This window comes from Homo sapiens, chromosome 7, assembly GCF_000001405.40.
Source record: "Homo sapiens chromosome 7, GRCh38.p14 Primary Assembly".
In the NCBI taxonomy this organism is placed as follows: domain Eukaryota; kingdom Metazoa; phylum Chordata; class Mammalia; order Primates; family Hominidae; genus Homo; species Homo sapiens.
In genome coordinates, this window is record NC_000007.14 from 77945508 (window position 1) to 77963946 (window position 18439).

General features: G+C 36.4%; 1 protein-coding gene across 18 annotated transcripts in view; it reads left to right on the forward strand.

Annotated features, from left to right (window-relative positions):
• Nucleotides 1–11997, forward strand: part of PHTF2 (putative homeodomain transcription factor 2) — a 158732-nt gene extending 146735 nt beyond the window's left edge. For 14 of the 18 annotated variants that reach the window (XM_011516422.4, XM_011516423.4, NM_001127358.2 and 11 more), the window contains 4 exons: nucleotides 4171–4326; nucleotides 6110–6205; nucleotides 8262–8387; nucleotides 9351–11997. In XM_011516422.4, the coding sequence (XP_011514724.1) occupies nucleotides 4171–4326; nucleotides 6110–6205; nucleotides 8262–8387; nucleotides 9351–9371 (399 nt within the window). In that variant the 3' untranslated portion in view covers nucleotides 9372–11997. The remainder of the gene's footprint in view (nucleotides 1–4170; nucleotides 4327–6109; nucleotides 6206–8261; nucleotides 8388–9350) is intronic. The other 4 variants (NM_001395272.1, NM_001395271.1, NM_001395270.1 and 1 more) reach the window with 2 other exon arrangements.
• Nucleotides 11998–18439: the final 6442 nt, after the last annotated feature.

The window sequence follows — 18439 nt, forward strand, 5'->3', positions numbered from 1 at the left end:
ATACAGACCACAATATCTGGCTGTCGTATAGTCAAAGTAGAAAAGAATGATAGCAACAAAAAAATCTTATATATTTGGAGATTTAAAACCATACAAATAATACATTCTTTAAAAGAAAGAGCACACTATTAAACTGTAAACAGTTTAATACTGGCACAATTGAGAATTTTTTTTAAGATACTAGTATGAAGTGCTTTATGTCATTAAAGTTGAAGGCATCAGTGGCCAATTTTATAGAAATGCATAATCTATTAAAACGGACTCAAAAAGTAATTGAAAACCTGAAGAGATCTGTAACTGTAAGTAGTTTAAAATTTTAGTAGTTTAAAATATGCCACCAACAAAAATCCTCCATACCCGTATGGTTTTACAGATGAATTTTGTCAAATATTTAAATAGATAATCCTAAACTTACACAAAAGATCTAGTCAATAGGAAAAGGGGATATTCTTCAACTCATTTTGTGAGGCTAATATAACCTTGATGCCAGTACCATAGAGCTAGTATGAAAATGGGAAACTGAGCTGGTTTCATTTATTAGATACAAAATTCCTCAACAAAATACTAAGAAGATGAAGCCAGAAAGTGAATTACAGTAAATAGGCCATGACTATGATAGTTTGTGCCTGGAATGCAGATTTCAACTTTAGAAAATCCATTAATGCAATTTAAGCTGATTAAAGGCAGAAAACATGCAATCATATCAATAGATGCAGAAAACAATTTGTAAATTTTCAGTGGGCATTCATGATACAAGGACTAGGAAGTATTGTCCTTAATCTGATAAAGTATATCTTTTAAAATTTGGAGCAAGCATTATACATAATGATATCACCTTAAGAGTTATTTACTTTAAAATTGGGAATAAGACAGTTATCTGCTTTACCACTTCTAGTCAGCATTTGATGGAGGGTATTAATCAGCAAAGATGGAAAAAAAAGTGGTCTAAAGTTTGGGGAAAAACAATCGTAAACTATATGATTGTTTATATAGAATATCCAAGCGACTTTACAGACACATTATTTAAAATAGATTTGTTATATGAAGATTAACAAAAATAGATACAACAACATTTTAAAAATTAATTTTGTTTCTATAAACCAGAGATCAGCAAACTTCCTCTGTAAAGGGCCAGATAAATATTTTAGACTTTTGCCTGACACATACAATCTCTGAAATACATTCTTTTTCTTCTTCCTTTGAAGTAATATAAAAATTTCCTTTAGCTATGGGGCGAGACAGACAGAGGCCTAAAGCTAGATTTGGCCAGTGGACCATAATTTGTTGACATCTGTTATATACAGAAATAGATAATTGAAAACTGTAAATACTGGCCAGGGACAGTGACTCATGGTTATAATCTTAGCACTTTGGAAGGCCAAGGTGGATGGATCCCTTGAGCCCAGGAGTTCAAGACCAGCCTGGGCAACATGGTGAGACCTGGTCTCTACAAAAAAAAAAAAAAAGCCAGACATGGTGACACATGCCTGTGATCCCAGCTACTTGGGAAGCTGAGGTGAGAAGATCACCCGAGCCTTGGGAGGTCAAGGCTGCAGTAAGCCATGATTGTGCCACTGCACTCCAGCCTGGAGTAACAGAGTGAGACCCTGTCTTTAAAAACAACAACAACAAACGCATATGTTATTTTCAATAGCAACAACAACAACAACAACAAAAGATTCCCGAGAATAATTCTAACAAAAGATATGTAGGACCTTATGGAGAAACAGGATAAAACTTTATTGAAAATTTTAAAAGAAGGTACACAATGAGGCTGAGCGCGGTGGCTCACGCCTATAATCCCAGCACTTTGGGAGGCCTACGTGGGCGGATCACCTGAGGTCAGGAGTTCAAGACCAGCCTGGCCACCATGGCAAAACCCTATCTCTACTGAAAAATACAAAAATTAGCCCGTCGCGGTGGTCCATGCCTGTAATCCCAGCTACTTGGGAGGCTGAGGCAGGAGAACCACTTGAACTCGGGAGGCAGAGGTTGCGGTGAGCCAAGATAACGCCACTGCACTCCAGCCTGGGCGACAGAGTGAGACTCAGTCTCAAAAAAAATTAAAAAAAGAAGGTATACAATGTTAGTCACAATGTTAATAGGTGGGAAGGCTCAATTTCAATTTCATATTGATTCTCCTGGGGGAATTGTTGGAATCCCTTGTAATTAAACAGAATGCTTTGTTTATTTAAAAAAATAAGTAACTCATCAAGCTCCCTAAAACTCATCTGGAAGCACAGAAAGACAAGAGTAGTCCAGATAATTTTGAAGAACAAGTTGCTGTACCAGAAATATGAAGATTTATTTTCTTTTTTCTTTTTTCTTTCTTTTTTTTTTTTTTTTTTGAGACAGAGTCTTTGCTCTGTCGGCCAGGCTGGAGTGCAGTGGCACGATCTCAGCTCACTGTAGCCTCTGCCTCCCCGGCTCAAGCAATTCTCCTGCCTCAGCCTCCTGAGTAGCTGGGATTACAGGAGTGTGCCACCACGCCCGGCTAATTTTTGTATTTTTAGTAGAGACGGGGGTTTCACCATGTTGGCCAGGCTGGTCTTGAACTCCTGACCTCAGGTAGTGCACCTGCCTTGGCCTCCCAAATTGCTGGGATTACAGGCGTGAGCCACTATGCCTGGCCTAATTTTTCTTTTTGTTTTTCTTTTTTAAATTTCTCTTAGAACCTTCAGATGAGAGACTTATTTTAAAATTACAGAAAGACTTTATGATTTTTGCCCAGGTATAGAATGACCAATGGGATGAAATAGAGTTGTAAATAGCCATATATATGTAGAAACCTAATATATGATCAGATGGCATTATATATCAATGTGGGAAGGCTTTACATAATGGAAATATGAGGTAAAAATGGAGCAAAACCAAATGACTTCATGCTATACATAAAAATAAATTCTAGGTGGATTAAAGATCTAAATATGAAAAAATTTTTAATATGATCACAAATGAAAATTAAAATTTTGTGTCCTGCAAAGACACCATAAACAACAAACCAGAATCTGGGAAAGATAGTGGCAAAATGACTTAAATAGGATTGTTAGTCACATTATAGAACTAAGTTCTACAAATCAATAGGAAAAACGAACAACATACTAGAAAAAAAGTGGATGTAGAATATAAAAAGATAACTCACAGGAGGAAATTCAATTACCAATAAGCATATGAAACATACTGATCCTCCCTAAATATCAGGAAAAGTAAAATTAAGGCAATGAGAGAACACGTCACGCCCATTAGATTAGCAGGTATTAGGAAGTTAGATAATAACAAGTATGAATGAAAATGATGGCAAAGGGAACTCTGATACACTGCTGAGAGTATAAATTGGTGCAACTATTTCAGAGACTAACTTACAATATCTAATATAGTTGAAGATGTAATATCCAAGAACCCAGTGATTTGGCTCCCAGATATTAACTTCTGGAGAAAGTTTTGCATGTGCGTACAAGGAAACACATACAAGAATGTGTATTGCAGCATTGCTTGTAATAATGGAAATTGGCAACAAAATATTAATGATAGGGTTGACCAATAAGTTGTGGTTGATTGTTTTACTGGCCAATAAATTGTGGCTGATTTTTTTACTTTAACATAGGAGTTAGAATGAATAAATTTAGAGCTAAATCTATCATCATGAATCAACCTTGAAAACAACATTCAGTGGAATAAAAAGAAATTAAAGAATGATGTAGATAATGTAACATTTATATAAACTTTTTCCTTTTTTTTTCCAACTCCCAAGTGCTTAGAAAATAAATTTTAAAATATACAAAAAATTATATAGTTCAAGGATGTATATGTAGCTAAACTATAAAAACCATTATGGAAAAGATAAACATAAAATTCATTACTTCTGGGGTGGGAAGGGGAAGAAAAATGAGATGGCAAAGTTTAAAGTGATTTCAACTGAATCTGTAATATTATTTTTTAATCTGAAAGAGATGTTGCAAAATATTAAGATTTGACAAAACTGGGTAGAGGCCCCATGGATATTAATTACCTTATACTCTATACTTTTGATATGCTTAAAATATTTCATAATTAATGTAGAATGTTTCTAAAATGTAATACTAAATTTATGAACAATCTATGTTTATTTCTTTTGAAAAGAAATTGTTTGAATCACATTGCTGCTTTATGTTACCTTTTTCATACTTTTAGCTACTTCATGTACACGAGATCTTCCTTGATTGTCACTACAATTGGGAATTGGTAATCTGGTGCATCTCGTTAACACTTTTTCTCCTAAGATTTGTTACCCTTGGATCAGAAACAAGTAAAAAATATAGTAATACCTCAATATTACTTACTGAACAGGTGAGTGTGCCTACTTATTATGCTACAAATTAATGTCTATAAGTTAAAATGTTTTCATTTCCTTTATGTTTTTCAAGAATGTGTTCTATTTGATTAAGGTCATTTGTGCTATAAAGCAAAATGTAAAATTTAATAGGACACAAGCCTTTCTTCAGTGTTCCTGCCTTGACTCATATTTCAAATCCAATCTGCTTTTTTAATGTCCCATTTTTATTTGACAAGAAGGAAGTACCATTTGTTAAATTAATGTATTTTAAACTATGAATGGGACATGTTTGCTTTGCAGTGTAGCAGAGCCGCATTTGAGTAAGTATACATTTTTACTCAGTAGAAAGAATAAAGTATAATTGGTTAATTTTATTTTGTATGAATTTGTTAAATATTTTCCTCCCGCCACTTTATAGGAATTTTGTAAAGAAACTTATTCTCATGAATATTTTAGTTAGGGATAGTTTGATTTTAAACAATCAATAAACCTGTCAAATGAGCTCAAACAGGAGAGTAACCCACAAAGATAAAGATCCCTGAGAAAGTATACTTGAGCCCGCCAGGCACGGTGGCTCATACCTGTAATCTCAGCACTTTGGGAGGGTAAGGCAGGTGGATTACTTGAGGTCAGGAGTTCAAGACCAGCCTGGCCAACAAGGTGAAACCCCATCCCTACAAAAAATACAAAAATTAGCCAGGTATGGTGGTGCGTGCCTGTAATCCCAGCTACTTGTTAGGCTGAGGCAGGAGAATCGTTTGAACCCCGGAGGTTGCAGTGAGCTGAGATTGTGCCACTGCACTCCAGCCTAGGCAACAGAGTGAGACTCCAACTCAAAAAAAAGTATACTTGAGCCTTATGAAATTGGACAAAATCAACCACTTCCTCCAACTCGCTCTGAGGCTAATGGTTTCTCATTTCCACCCTTCTAATCACCTTTCTTTCTGTGGCCTTTCTGTAGACTTGTTACCCTATGATTTTGGTTTACACACGGTTTTGGTTTGGCTTAGCACGAGTTCTGGCTTAGACTTTTACTAACTTTTCAGTTCATGTTCCTACAATATCTGATAGATATATCATGTTAGTCTCACCAGTCAGTATATTGACTAGCTTTGGTTTGGGTGTACATTCCAGCCTAATCAGCGATGGCTGCCAGATTGGGGGTAAAGGTGAGATCAAATGGGGATAAGCACAGTTGCCTAGGCTTGCTTCTTCCACTGGCTTGGGGTTAGAGCATTTTTCAAAGAAAGGAACTGTGGATACCCCAAAATTATCTATTATAGAGTGGATAATAAAAATACACAAATATTTTTGAGTGACTTTCAAATAAATCATAAAACAACAAGGCATTGTGACTGCCTATAATCCCAACACTTTGGGAGGCTGAGATGAGAGGATCACTTGAATCCAGGATTTCAATACCAGCCTGGGCAACATAGCAAGACCCCATCTCTAGTAAAAAAGAAAGAAAGAAAAATTATAAACTATTGGTTTAGTTTATTCTAATTATTATTTATTTTTTAGGTTGATTTGGCTCCGATAATAAAGTGTCTCACCTTTTAAATAATGCCATCCAGTCTTTTTTATTTTGGCTTTTGATTACATTTCAAAAGTGTTTGAGAAACAGTTATTATTTTCCTATTATAAAATAAGTATAGGAAATTTGGAATATATAGTATAAAGACTATTAAAATCACCTATAATCTCAATAACCAGATACTTGAGTGAATATCTTTCAAGTCCTTTAAAAATGTGTATTTATTATAATTTGAAGCATTTCTATTCTTTTTATAAAAGATAAACCTCTACTTGAAAATGGAGAAAAAACCTAACAAAAAGGAGGAACTGACACTAGTGAATAATGTTTTAAAACTGGCTACTAAACTGCTAAAGGTAAGAATAGAACTGAAAATGGTTATAATGTCAAATATGCTGTTCTGACATAATTTTATTTTTTTGTTTATAGATATTACTTTGTATGTGGTTTTCATGATTATCCAAGTTGTTTCCAAATTATACTTGTGCACATACATACAATTTATATTTTACTTCTCATTGCAAAAGTGCTTGAACTAATCCAAATAATTTCTTTGGAAATTGTATATTAATAATAATATGTCTGGAGTATTGTAGAGGTTGGCATCTTTGGAAATGTATGCCTCCTACACCTTAAAATAGATATCAAAAAAGAAAATTTGTTGTTTACTTGGGAAGTTTTTTATTTTGTATTTCTCAGAGAAGTCTTCTGGTTGGCCTGAGTTAGCTTAAAAAGTAATAATACATAATTATCATAATAAATATGTGTCATAAATAAACATTTAATTTTTGATAACAAAAAGGAATACAATTTTGATGTATTTTATCTCATAGTAACTCTTTGGGGGTAATTTAATAAAACATTTTTTATCACTGCTTACAATATTCATTATGTTTTTAGTTCTTAAAAGGAAAATATTTTTTAAAATTTCAACTTCTATAACCAATTGAATATAATTGTTAGAGTTATTTATGTTTTCAGAGAATGGTATGAAATTAGTTGTGTTTCAGTGTTATAGTTAATTCTTCAGTCAACTAAACAGTGTGAATTGGGTATAGACTATGCACCACATAGTATTGAAGGGTTCAGAAGAAGTGGGTGGGGGGATAATAAAAAGCAATTACAGATTGCTTTCTTTTTCAAATCCCTTTAATTATCCTGAGGAAGATGATGACATTTAAATAACAAGCAAGATAATAGAGGCAAACTCCATTTTTGACCAAAATGCTCAATGGGAAAAAAATATCTTGAATTAATAGTTTTGTGTTTGCTTGACACATGTATATTGCCTATCTTCAGAGTGTAGGCACTGTGTAGGAAGGGGCTACAAAGGTGAGACTCAATGAGCAGCCACAATCTCAGAGCAAAGTATAAAAATGACTAGAATAACAAAGCATAATAGTATGATTCTTTTTGATCATACATAGTCTCCTAGTCAGAAATCTGGGACTTAACATAGATCGTACCTTCTTTCTCTCTCTCTTTACAGCCAAGAAATTCTCAAGTCCGCTGATTCAGTCTTTTAAATATCTTCCAATTCATCCTCTTCTCTATTAGTACGGCCCTATGTGAGATCCTTGTCTCTCACTTATGCTTTTGATACACTGAACTCCTTACAGATATTCTTGCTTCTGATCTCATTGCTCCCTAGTCTTTCTTCTACATTGCTGGCCCAATGATCTTTCTTCCTTGTACTTGGGCCCTAACAATGCTGAGCAACCTGTAGCAATTCAGATGTGTCATGTTCTCATGTGTCTTTTAGAATATTTACTCCCCACCATCCACAAAGTTTCAGGAGCACCTTCCTCTATGGCCCCATTATTTGCTTTTTATATGTACCTTTGAAATGGGACTTTCATATTTTAATTATTTGTTGCATGTCTACTAAACTGTAAGGTCCTTCAGTTCAGGGACTGAATCTTAACTTCCCAGAGCCTAGCACAGGGCTTGGCATATGATAGAACTTTAAATGTTTGAATTAACCAATTAATTAATACATGTATTTGAAAATGAATTGACTCAAAGAGGAGTTTTTACATGTTATAATCTTGTCAGAAAATTTGGCCAATTTCTAATTGTTCTACCGAAAGGTATTGTTCTCTTTCGGTTTCTAGTCTAGTTCTTATATTAAAAAATGTTCTCTAGCCTCTTTATAATAGCTTAAGGGACAGAAATTGGAGTTACATATTTAGTCACAGAGTTCTTTTAAAGGAAGTTCCTTTTTCCTTTAAAACCATTAAAACTATTATTGAAATTTACTTCTTTCAAGTTTAACCAAGTTTATCCTTTCTAAAAGCATCCATAATTGGTAACTTTTTTGAAAGTGTTTTTTAATTCTCATTGTATATTGTTCTGAATTAGCTTAGTAATTCTTTTTGAATCTGGGACTGACTTTTTTTTCTCTTCTGCTAGGAGTTGGACAGTCCTTTTAGATTATATGGGCTTACAATGAATCCGCTGCTTTATAACATCACCCAGGTTGTTATCCTGTCAGCTGTTTCTGGTGTTATCAGTGACTTGCTTGGATTTAATTTAAAGGTAAGAGGTTGCAAGTACTTTTTATTTCTTAGTTTCCTGTTGCATTTTTGTTGCGCCCATTTTACCCTCACATGCACAGTAATGCGGTCATTTTGGTAAGATTGCAATTATTGAACATTTCACATTTAATTTCAAAGAATTATATGTATTTATGTTTTATAATACTGCAGGAATTTCTAACTTGGAACAGTATTTATTATAAATAGAAGTCTTGTGTAGGATAAGTAGAAGTATTTGGTTTTTTTTATTTTTTATTTTGAGATGGAGTCTGCTCTGTTGCCCAGGCTGGTGTGCAGTTGCGCGACCTTGGCTCACTGCAACCTCTGCCTCCCGGGTTCAAGGATTTCTCCTGCCTCAGCCTCCCAAGTAGCTGGGACTACAGGTGTGCACCACCACGCCTGGCCAATTTTTGTATTTTTAGTAGAGACAGTGTTTCACCATGTTAGCCAGGCTGGTCTCGAACTCCTGACCTCAAGTGATACACCCACCTTGGCCTCCCAGAGTGCTGGGATTGCAGGTGTGAGCCACCGCGCCTAGCAAGAAGTATTTATTTTTACTAATAAAGCTTTAATTTAGGTGATAAAAAAGAAAAAAGCCTTATTTCTATTTTTGGCCAAAAGTTGTATTATTTATCTGTATAGCAATGCATACATCTTCCAATATATGCACAACTAACTGTTAGGAAGGTGTAAGATAATCATATTAAACAAGTACTGTGTATATATATATATATATATATATATATATATATAGCCACTTCTCAAGAGAAAGCAATAGAAATCTGATTTTCACATTTTTGTTTGTGTTTAAGGTGAGTTCTTCTTAAAAGGATAAAGGAGTTAAAATATTAGAAACTGCACTTGTTTGTGAATGAAATTTGAATTTAAAAATGGTGTTATATGATATAATTTAAGCTTTGATATTAAAACTGGCTTGTCACCACTTCTATTTTTTTTTTTCTAGCTATGGAAGATTAAGTCATGACAATTCAAAGAAAAGAAGATGTAGCCTCTTTTCCAGAATAAGAGTACTGACTAAGCTGCCTGAAAGCTTGTCACTGATTCTTTGCTTCAGGAGTCTCAGCTAGGGAGTTGAAGTGTTTACATCAGACTGTCTTGTGCAATTCTTATATTTATTTTACTGGTTCACTTTTTTTTACATTTATTTTAGTCTTTATATTTTTATTTTTAAGCATTGATGTACTTAGTTGTTGAAAGGGTGATGAAACTGATATCCAGATACTTGAGATCCTGGTAATTGGTCATAAATAATTGGCAAAATAACAAATTGTGAAAATAGAAGCCATTGCTCAGCACCGTTTCTCCATCAATGCCGTGAACTTGCCTTACTTGAGGAAAAATTCTTTAACTTTGGAATATTGCATTGAACTCAGCTATACACATAAAACATTTTCTTTGGTAAATCAAGATCCAGTCAGGGTTTCTCTTGAATTATTTTGGAACAATGCCAGGATCCAAACTGATTAAGTTACAGTTTAAGCACCCTTCAGTATTAATATATACGGTATTATATAACAGGTCAACAAGTGCTCTTTGATGATAAAACTTGTAATAGAGCAATAATTGTAAATGGTTACCATACTGTAAGATATTTTGATAAAAATTAACTAGTAATACTTGTATTTATTTGAAACACTGGGCTGTTTGCACAGCTCCAACTGTGCATGCTCAAAATGTGCACTTTTTAAAATTGTTACTTTTAATGCGTATCTTTATATGGGATCTGTTATAGTATACTAGGGCATGATATGGTATCCTTTTGAGTGAGGTATATACTCATCTCACAAGTGAAGTGCCTACTGATATTACTAAAGTACATTATGTTTACTCAAGTAAATAATTTTCTCCCCATGGTACACTCTAGTGTAGGCTATTCATACCACACTGAAATGAACAACTGAAGAATAAGGCTAAGAACCAATAAAATATTTCTCTAATTGCTAGTTGTAAAACTGTATCCAAATTTTCAGAAAAGACAGCTTCAGCTTGCAAATTCTATCCTCTAAACTTATCTGGTGCATTCTCCCCACCCCACCCCCATTATATAAGGGCTATTTTAGATGCTTTTAACCTCCCCAACAAATAATTTGCCAAGTGTCCAATGAGAACTTATCATGTTGGTGTGTTAGGTAAATCGGGCAAATATGATAGTGTCTTACATTGGGCCTTGATTTTAAGTTGTTATATTTGTACAATCGAGTATTTTAGAAATTACATGAAACATGAAACAGTTTTTGCAATTTTTTTTAAACTGGGCATCTGGTTTCTAAAAATTTATTTGAAACAATCTAGAATTTTCTTGGTGCAAAGTGTATCATGTGGAATATCCTCATATTTTTACCATATTTTAAGAACTTTAAGACGATTAATTGTAAATAATTTATTTGATTGGTGCAGTTCTAATCCCTAAATCATAATCTTAAAATCAGGAATGTGTGGAGAACAGAGCCATGTCATATCACTTTGCTCTTACCATTCCTTTTGATCAGCCTCAATTCAGCCTCATTGTGTAGTATGTTTTTTCTTTCTATGAAAAACAACAGAAAGCATTTCATTTTATTTGCCTATGTTCAAATATGTTTAATAATGACCAAAGTGCATTCTGAGTTTTTTCAAGGAATGTAATACTGGAGCTTTAAGAACATACTTAGTTTCTCATGTGAAAACTTAGGCTTTGTCTGATGTTTTTCCTTCCTCTATTGTCTAATGTTGAGGTTGTTTTTAGGAATTATGTTTTATAAACTTTTTCAATATAAGGTACATGCCTATACAGAACTTAACATTTTGCACAGAATATATCAAATATATTTTGAGAAAAAAAGTACGGCATGAGTTCTGTTAGGAATAAAAGATGAAACTATTGTATCTCACAAAAAATCTTATTTCAGAATGGAAATATTTTTGAGAAAAGTAGCTGAGTATACTGGTTTAAGAAAATGCTTGTTTTAGATTGAGGTTAACTTAGAGTTGGGAGTTGATTTATTAAGTACAGTATACCTCTCAACAGTTTATAAATAATATGTTGAATTATGTCAGTGTGGGCAGCAGTAGAATACTAAAAGGAAAATGTCATGTTAAGCAATTTCAGAACATTAACTGAACTATTTTCAAAGCAGAAAAATTGACATTGCTGCCTTTAAGAATACCATGAATGTAAGAAATTGAAAGAAATTGTAAAATATCACATAATATAGAAATGGCAGTTCAAAGAGAATTGTGGCAGATGTTGTGTGTGAACTGTTGTTTCTTTGCCACATGTGTTGTATTTGAAAGTTTTACAGTAAGTTTAAAATAAAACATTCTGTGACTGACGGTGTTTTTTTTTTTAATTTTCAGGTCATATACATTTCTATGGTAATTTTGTGTTTACTTAACATAAAATTTAGTTAGATTTGGGGGGAGTGAAAATAAATTTTTTATAACTTTCCAACATTTTAGATTTTGTTATGATTCTTAGAACATGAAAGAATAATACACAGGTTTTTCATCACCAAAATGATATTATATCATTAATGTTTGTTTGCTTCTTTGTTTTTGAATACAGCAAACTGGCTGTGGCCTGAAATATTAAAGCTCATTGTGAAAAGATAGTGGTTTTTTTGGTTTGTTTGTTTGTTTTGAGACGGAGTCTCACACTGTCACCTGGGCTGGAGTGCAATGGCACAATCTTGGCTTACTGCAACCTCTGCCTCCCAGGTTCACACCATTCTCCTGCCTCAGCCTCCTGAGTAGCTGGGATTACAGGCGCCCACCACCACGCCCTGCTAATTTTTTGTGTTTTTAGTAGAGATGGGGTTTCTCTATGTTGGCCAGACTGGTCTCAAACTCCTGATCTCATGATCTGCCTGCCTCGGCCTCCCAAAGTGCTGGGCTTATAGGCGTGAGCCACTGTGCCCAGCCGATAGTGGTGTTTTTAAACAAATGATTTTGCCACATGAATTTAGCATGAGAGATTATGATCAACAGTAGGATGGTTAAACATTCTAATATTTCTGTTATCTGATTGGTCCAAGTGTTCACTGGGCTTAAATTAATCTAGGACTATTAATTCAAGTGCACTTTCAAACTTACTTTAAGCTTACAAATGGCTCTTTTAATGAATCTCCCTTCATACTTCAAAATAGCAATATGACTGGCACTTCTTAATTGTTTGCTGTATCACTTAGAACATAATTCTCAACTTTTTTTCTGCCAAGCCTATACAAAAAGACACCACAAATGCTTAACAGTAGCACTGGCTCCCCAAAGTACTTACTGCCTGGGGAATCTAAAAGGCCATTAGGGATGGGAAAAACCCAAGTGTTTTTTTCTACTCTCACACCATTCAGCATAACACTTCTGATACCAGATTCTCTGGCAGACACCAACTGGGTGTTTTAGAATTTAACTCAGCTCTAACACTACACCCAAAAGAATGTCAGATCCCACAGGTTGAGGGCTCATTCCCACCAGACTGCCCCCACTTCAGATGCCAGGCACAAGACCCAGGTTGTGATCTGCCTCCCCATCAGGGTTCCTACGACCCTCTTCTTGGGTTCAGTTAATTTGCTAGAGAAACATTTAACTTTTACAGGTTTATTATAAAGGATACAGATGATGGAGGAGATGCATAGGCAAGGTATGGGCGAAAGAGTGTGGAGCTTTCATGCCCTGTCCAGAGTGTGCCACACTCCAGGAGGCTCCATGTGTTGTGCAACCCAGAAACCCTCCAAATCCCATGGTTGAGGGATTTTTATGGAGACTTCAAATCACATAGGCATGATTAATAAACTCCACTTCCAGCCTCTCTGGAGGGAAGGTGGAACTGAAAGTTCCAAGTTTATAATCATGGTTTGGTTCTTCTGGTGACTGGCGCTCATTTAGGAGCCCACCAAGATTTGCCTCCTTGCAGTAAAAGACATTCCTATTACCTGGAATTTACAAAGCTATTAGGAACTGCGTGACAGGAACTAGAGTCAAAGACCAAATATTAGAAGAAAAGATTCTCCTAGCACCCTTGTCATTCAGGAAATTACAAGAGCTTTAGGAGCTCTGTGCCAGCGACTGGGGGCAGAGACCTGTGTATATATATAATTTCAGAGAGGTGGTACAGATACACTTTCAAGAAAGTATTCCCCAAGTGACTTGTAAAATTTGTTCCACTTAACCATTTGTCACCACCCTGAGAATTATTGGCTTAAGATACAAAATTTTGTAGAATGTGTAAAAGAAAATAAAATTTAAGGACCCTCCAAACTTACTATGCCCAGGGGAAGTTAAGTCCTAGAGACAGAGTAACGTAGCATATTTGCCCCTTCTGCTTCTTAGATTATAGATTAACTTTCTTCCTTATTGTTCTTGTTCTGTAAATGACTAGGAAAGACCAGAGACCAGACTTCTGCCTCTTCTAGTCCCTAATCTTCGTTATAGGTTAACTGCCTCTTTTATTGTCCTATACCTAAATCAGACCAGGTGGAGCAAAACACCCCCATGACTGTTACATCTTCAGTGTGGAATATTAAATATACCTTTTAAGAGAAAGAAAGACCACCTCAGCTAATTAGATCATTGAATTATGCATTAAACCTTCTATAGAAAGATGTAGAAATTCTGTTAAGCTCCCCTAAACTTTGTCTATATAAATGATCCCAAACTTCTAGACTTCAGAACACTGACTTCCATCCTTTGGAATATGTTCTTCTCCGGGGACTGTTGTCAAACTTCGTGCTTGGGTAAACTTACTCAAACTTAGATTTTTTTTTTTTTTTTTTTTTTTTTCCTTGAGATGGAGTCTCACTGTATCGCATAGGCTGGAGTTCAGTGGCACGATCTCAGCTCACTGCAACCTCCACCTCCCAGGTTCAAGTGATGCTCATGCCTCAGCTTCCCAAATAGCTGGGATTACAGGCATGTACCACCATGCCTGGTTAATTTTTGTATTTTTAATAGAGATGGGGGTTTCACCATGTTGGCCAGGCTGGTCTTGAACTCCTGACCTTAGGTGATCTGCCCGCCTTGGCCTATGTGCTGAGATTATAGGCGTGAGCCACTGCACCTGGCCAATTTACTGGATTCTAACCCTTTTGATTATTTTAGGTTGACAAATGTAAATTCCATGAGATATTAACTGTATTTACCACTATTCTCAGCACCTGGAACAGTGCCTGATACACAGAAATATCACAATATATTTACCTAATGTGTGACTTGAGTCGAATAGGACCTTCGACACCACTCATTCCAAAGTCCCCATTTTACCACATGAAAAAAATAGGACCCAAAAGAGGTTAAGAAGCTTGTCCAAGGTTGCACAACTACTCAATGATAGAATCCAAACTCTCCGTATCCCCTTTGCAGGTATACATTCTATAATCGTATCTTTGTGTAAGCATTTGGCACCTCTTGACTGATCAAAATTGTTCATCATAGGAAGAATACCCTGGGAAGAACAAATATATTGATAAATTATCTGTCCATTTTTTTAGTGAGGTCATATACAAACTAATAAACCTTGGCAATAGGAAAACGTCAGAATTCATCTTGACATCTCCCTGTTCAACTCTCTGCAGTGTGCCCTAGTGGAAAGAACATATGCTTTGGCATCAGGCTTCTTTTACAATCTTGAGCAAATTACTTAACCTCTGTGAGCTTTGGTTTTCTCAGCTGTAAATTACTAACAGTAATACCTATCTTACAGGGCTATTAGGAGGATTAATGAGATAACATATGTAAAGCACCTAGCAAGGAACTGATGTGTTAGTTATGCAGGAAAATTGGTTCTCTTCACCTTTCTTACCAAGAAAAACAAGTAACGGCCTAGGGCAATTAACAAAAATTTCCAAGCTAAATCATTCATATTACATAAGATATCATATGCATCCCCACCAAATGTGAGAACTATTAAGAATCATCCTTCTTATAAACTATCATTCTTCTGTATGTGAAAAATTCTTTTACAAGAAGTTGACATTTAATTCCCTTTCTTCCTAAGCAGGCACACTAAAATGTGGGAGGAAAGTCTCATCCTTTTGCAAGCCTATGTGTTACTGTATATCCAATTATGAGCAATTTTGCTAAATTCTCAGATGCATATTCCATTCATATCTCTTCATTTTTTTATCTCTGGCTCATTTATATGTGGATACTCTCACTAACAGTACCCTAGAGTCCTTTCATTTTCAACCTGCTTCTCAACTTTAAGTTGTCTGCTCACTGTTCATACTTGGAGTTGCTGGGAGAGCATTGAACTTGACTTTCTAGAAATCATGCTTATCAAGATGTAGCTGAAATCTCTCAGCTCTATATTTGGCAACGTGCCTTTTAATCCATTTCATGTCCATTTATATGCTGCCTACAATGGCTCTTTTGAACCTCCTTTATCACCCTCAAGTTTCTCTCATCTGTATCTGTTTCCTCTAACTTTACTGAAAAGATAGAATTCATTAAGCATGAATTCTACCATCTTCTCCCCACTACAGCTCTGTCAAAAAGATGTTGCTCTCTGAGCCCAACTCTCCCTCAGTCCCCAGGATTCTGTCCCTGTCCACCTTTAATCTTTTCCTTTCCTGATTTTATGTTATAAGTTATTTAGATTTCGATGAGAGATAATCGTACCTAGAGTATGGGAGAACTATTTAAGGTTTACAGGTTGGGTGGAACCCTTGTATATACTAGATGGTACTGTGAGGGCTTGCCACACTGTCAGCCTTCATCTGAACAGAGCAGAAAGTGTTTCTGCATGTTCACCAAGCCCTGCTGGACTGTATCACTTTTCTCTGTGGGCCGTAACTCAGTGGTCAGCGATTGGTGCCTTGCTCTAAAGCAGCCAGCCATTTTATGTGCCTGCAAGTAGCCTGTAGGGTTGGTTTTGGCATGAGAGCTTTGCCCAGTAGATGCACTGTATCCTTGATGGTGACTTGCTAACTCAGTGTGATTCTCTCTTACTGCAAATTTGAATTTAGGACACAGTGTTAGCAGGAGGAGTTGCTAGAAAAGCAGAAACCCAGGAGAAACCATGAATTGAGCAAAGCCATAAAGTAAAAAGGAGGTAGTGATAGTGGAGAAAGGAGAAGAAAGTAACAGAAACTGCCCAAAACTGGCAGGAGCAGAGAAACCGAGCAATAGCTTGGGTAGTAACTTTTAGACCTTTAACATATCATTACAATGCTAAAATCCCTGCCCCTAAATGAAGATGGCCACCATGTTGTATACATACAATGTATGAAGAAGCATGTGTGGGGACTGCACCTGTGTGGAACTCCACCCTGAGCATGTTATATACCTCCCCTGCCTCTCATCTAACTCTTTGCAATCCCCTGACTCCTATTGCTCCAGGAGAAGGTGACTTTAGAGCAAGAGCTCCCCTTCTCTATTCTCTGGCCACTGAATAAAACCCAACTGCCTTTTCCAGTTGGACCTACTTTCTTTGCAGCTGATACAAAGTAGGGAAGGTACTCAGTTTACTGTATCACATGTGAACAGTTTAGTATGGCTGGGGAAAATGATGTGTAGGCAACAGTAGAAGATAATGCTGGAAGATGACTTTGTGGAGCCAAGAAATTTGAATTTTATCTTCAAGATGAAGACTGCCTAGCACAGTGCCTGATTTCCTAGTTGCTTGGTGAGTACAACAGAGATGTCACCATCTTCACTAGGATACTTAGTAAACAGCTCCAGACTGAGATTGATTGATTGATTGATATTTTGAGGCAGGGCCTTGCTCTGTTGCCCAGGCTGGAGTGCAGTGGTGCAATCACGGCTCACTGCAGCCTCAACCTCCTAGACTGAAGTGATCCTCCCACTTCAGCCTCCCAACCAGCTGGGACTACAGGTGTGTACCACCACACTCAGCTCATTTTTTATTTTTATGTAGAGACGGGGTCTCACTAGTTTTCAGGGCTGGTCATTTTTTTTATTTAAAATTTAGTATATATTAAGGGTTCTATTCACTATGCTAGAATTTTTTATGTAACTAAAATATTGACATGGTACAAGTTTGTATCCAAGGGTGTCTCAGTCCATTTAGTGTTGCTATCTAGGAATACCTCAGACTGGGTAATTTATTTTTAAAAGATATATTTGGCTCATGGTTCTGCAGGCTGTAAAAGAAGCCTGGCACCAGCATCTGCTTCTACTGAGGGTCTCTGACAGCTTGCACTCATCAGGGAAGGGAAGAGCCAGCATGCACAGAAATCACATGGGGAGAGAGGAAGCAAGTGTGGGGAGAGAGGTGCCACGCTCTTTTTAACAACCAGTTATCATGGGAACTAATAGAGTGAGAACTCATTGCTAGGAGGATGGCACCAAGACATTTAGGCGGAGATGAGTAAATCATGAGTAAGACATTCATGATTTGTCCTGTGACCCAAACACCCCTCATTGGCCCCATCTCCAACATTGGGAGTCAAATTTCAACATGAGATTTGGAGGGGTCACACAAACGATAGCACAGGGTATGTATAATTAAGTTGACCTCAGTTTCTTTCTCCACCTTTGTTGTTGTTTTTGTTTGTCTTTTGAGAGAGGGTCTCGTTCTGTTGCCTAGGCTGGAGTGCAGGGGTGCGATTATGGCTCACTGAAGCCTCCCAGACACAAGTGATCCTCCCACCTCAGCCTCCTGAGTAGCTGGGACCACAGGCACAGGCCACCACGCCCGGCTAATTTTTGTATTTTTTGCAGAAACGAGATTTCCCCTGTTGCCGAGGCTGGTCTTGAACTCCTGAGCTCAAATGATCCACCCTCCTGCCCTGGCCTCCCAGAGTGCTGGGATTACAGGTGCGAGTCACTGTGCCTGGCCTTTCTTCACCTTTGAATGATACAGTTGATTTCTAATTATTAGCAAAGTGACACCATTTTTAAAAAATTTACAGAATAGCTCAAGTTAATCTTGCACTATGGTGAAGATCACAGGCTCTGGAATCAGGCAGAGCTGGGACTGACTTGAAGCATGTATATGGCCTTGGGCAAGTTATTTAACCTCCATAATCCTCATCTGTAAAATGAGATAGGAAGCAACTAATACTGGAGCCTCATGTGGTTCTTGTGAGTGTGAAA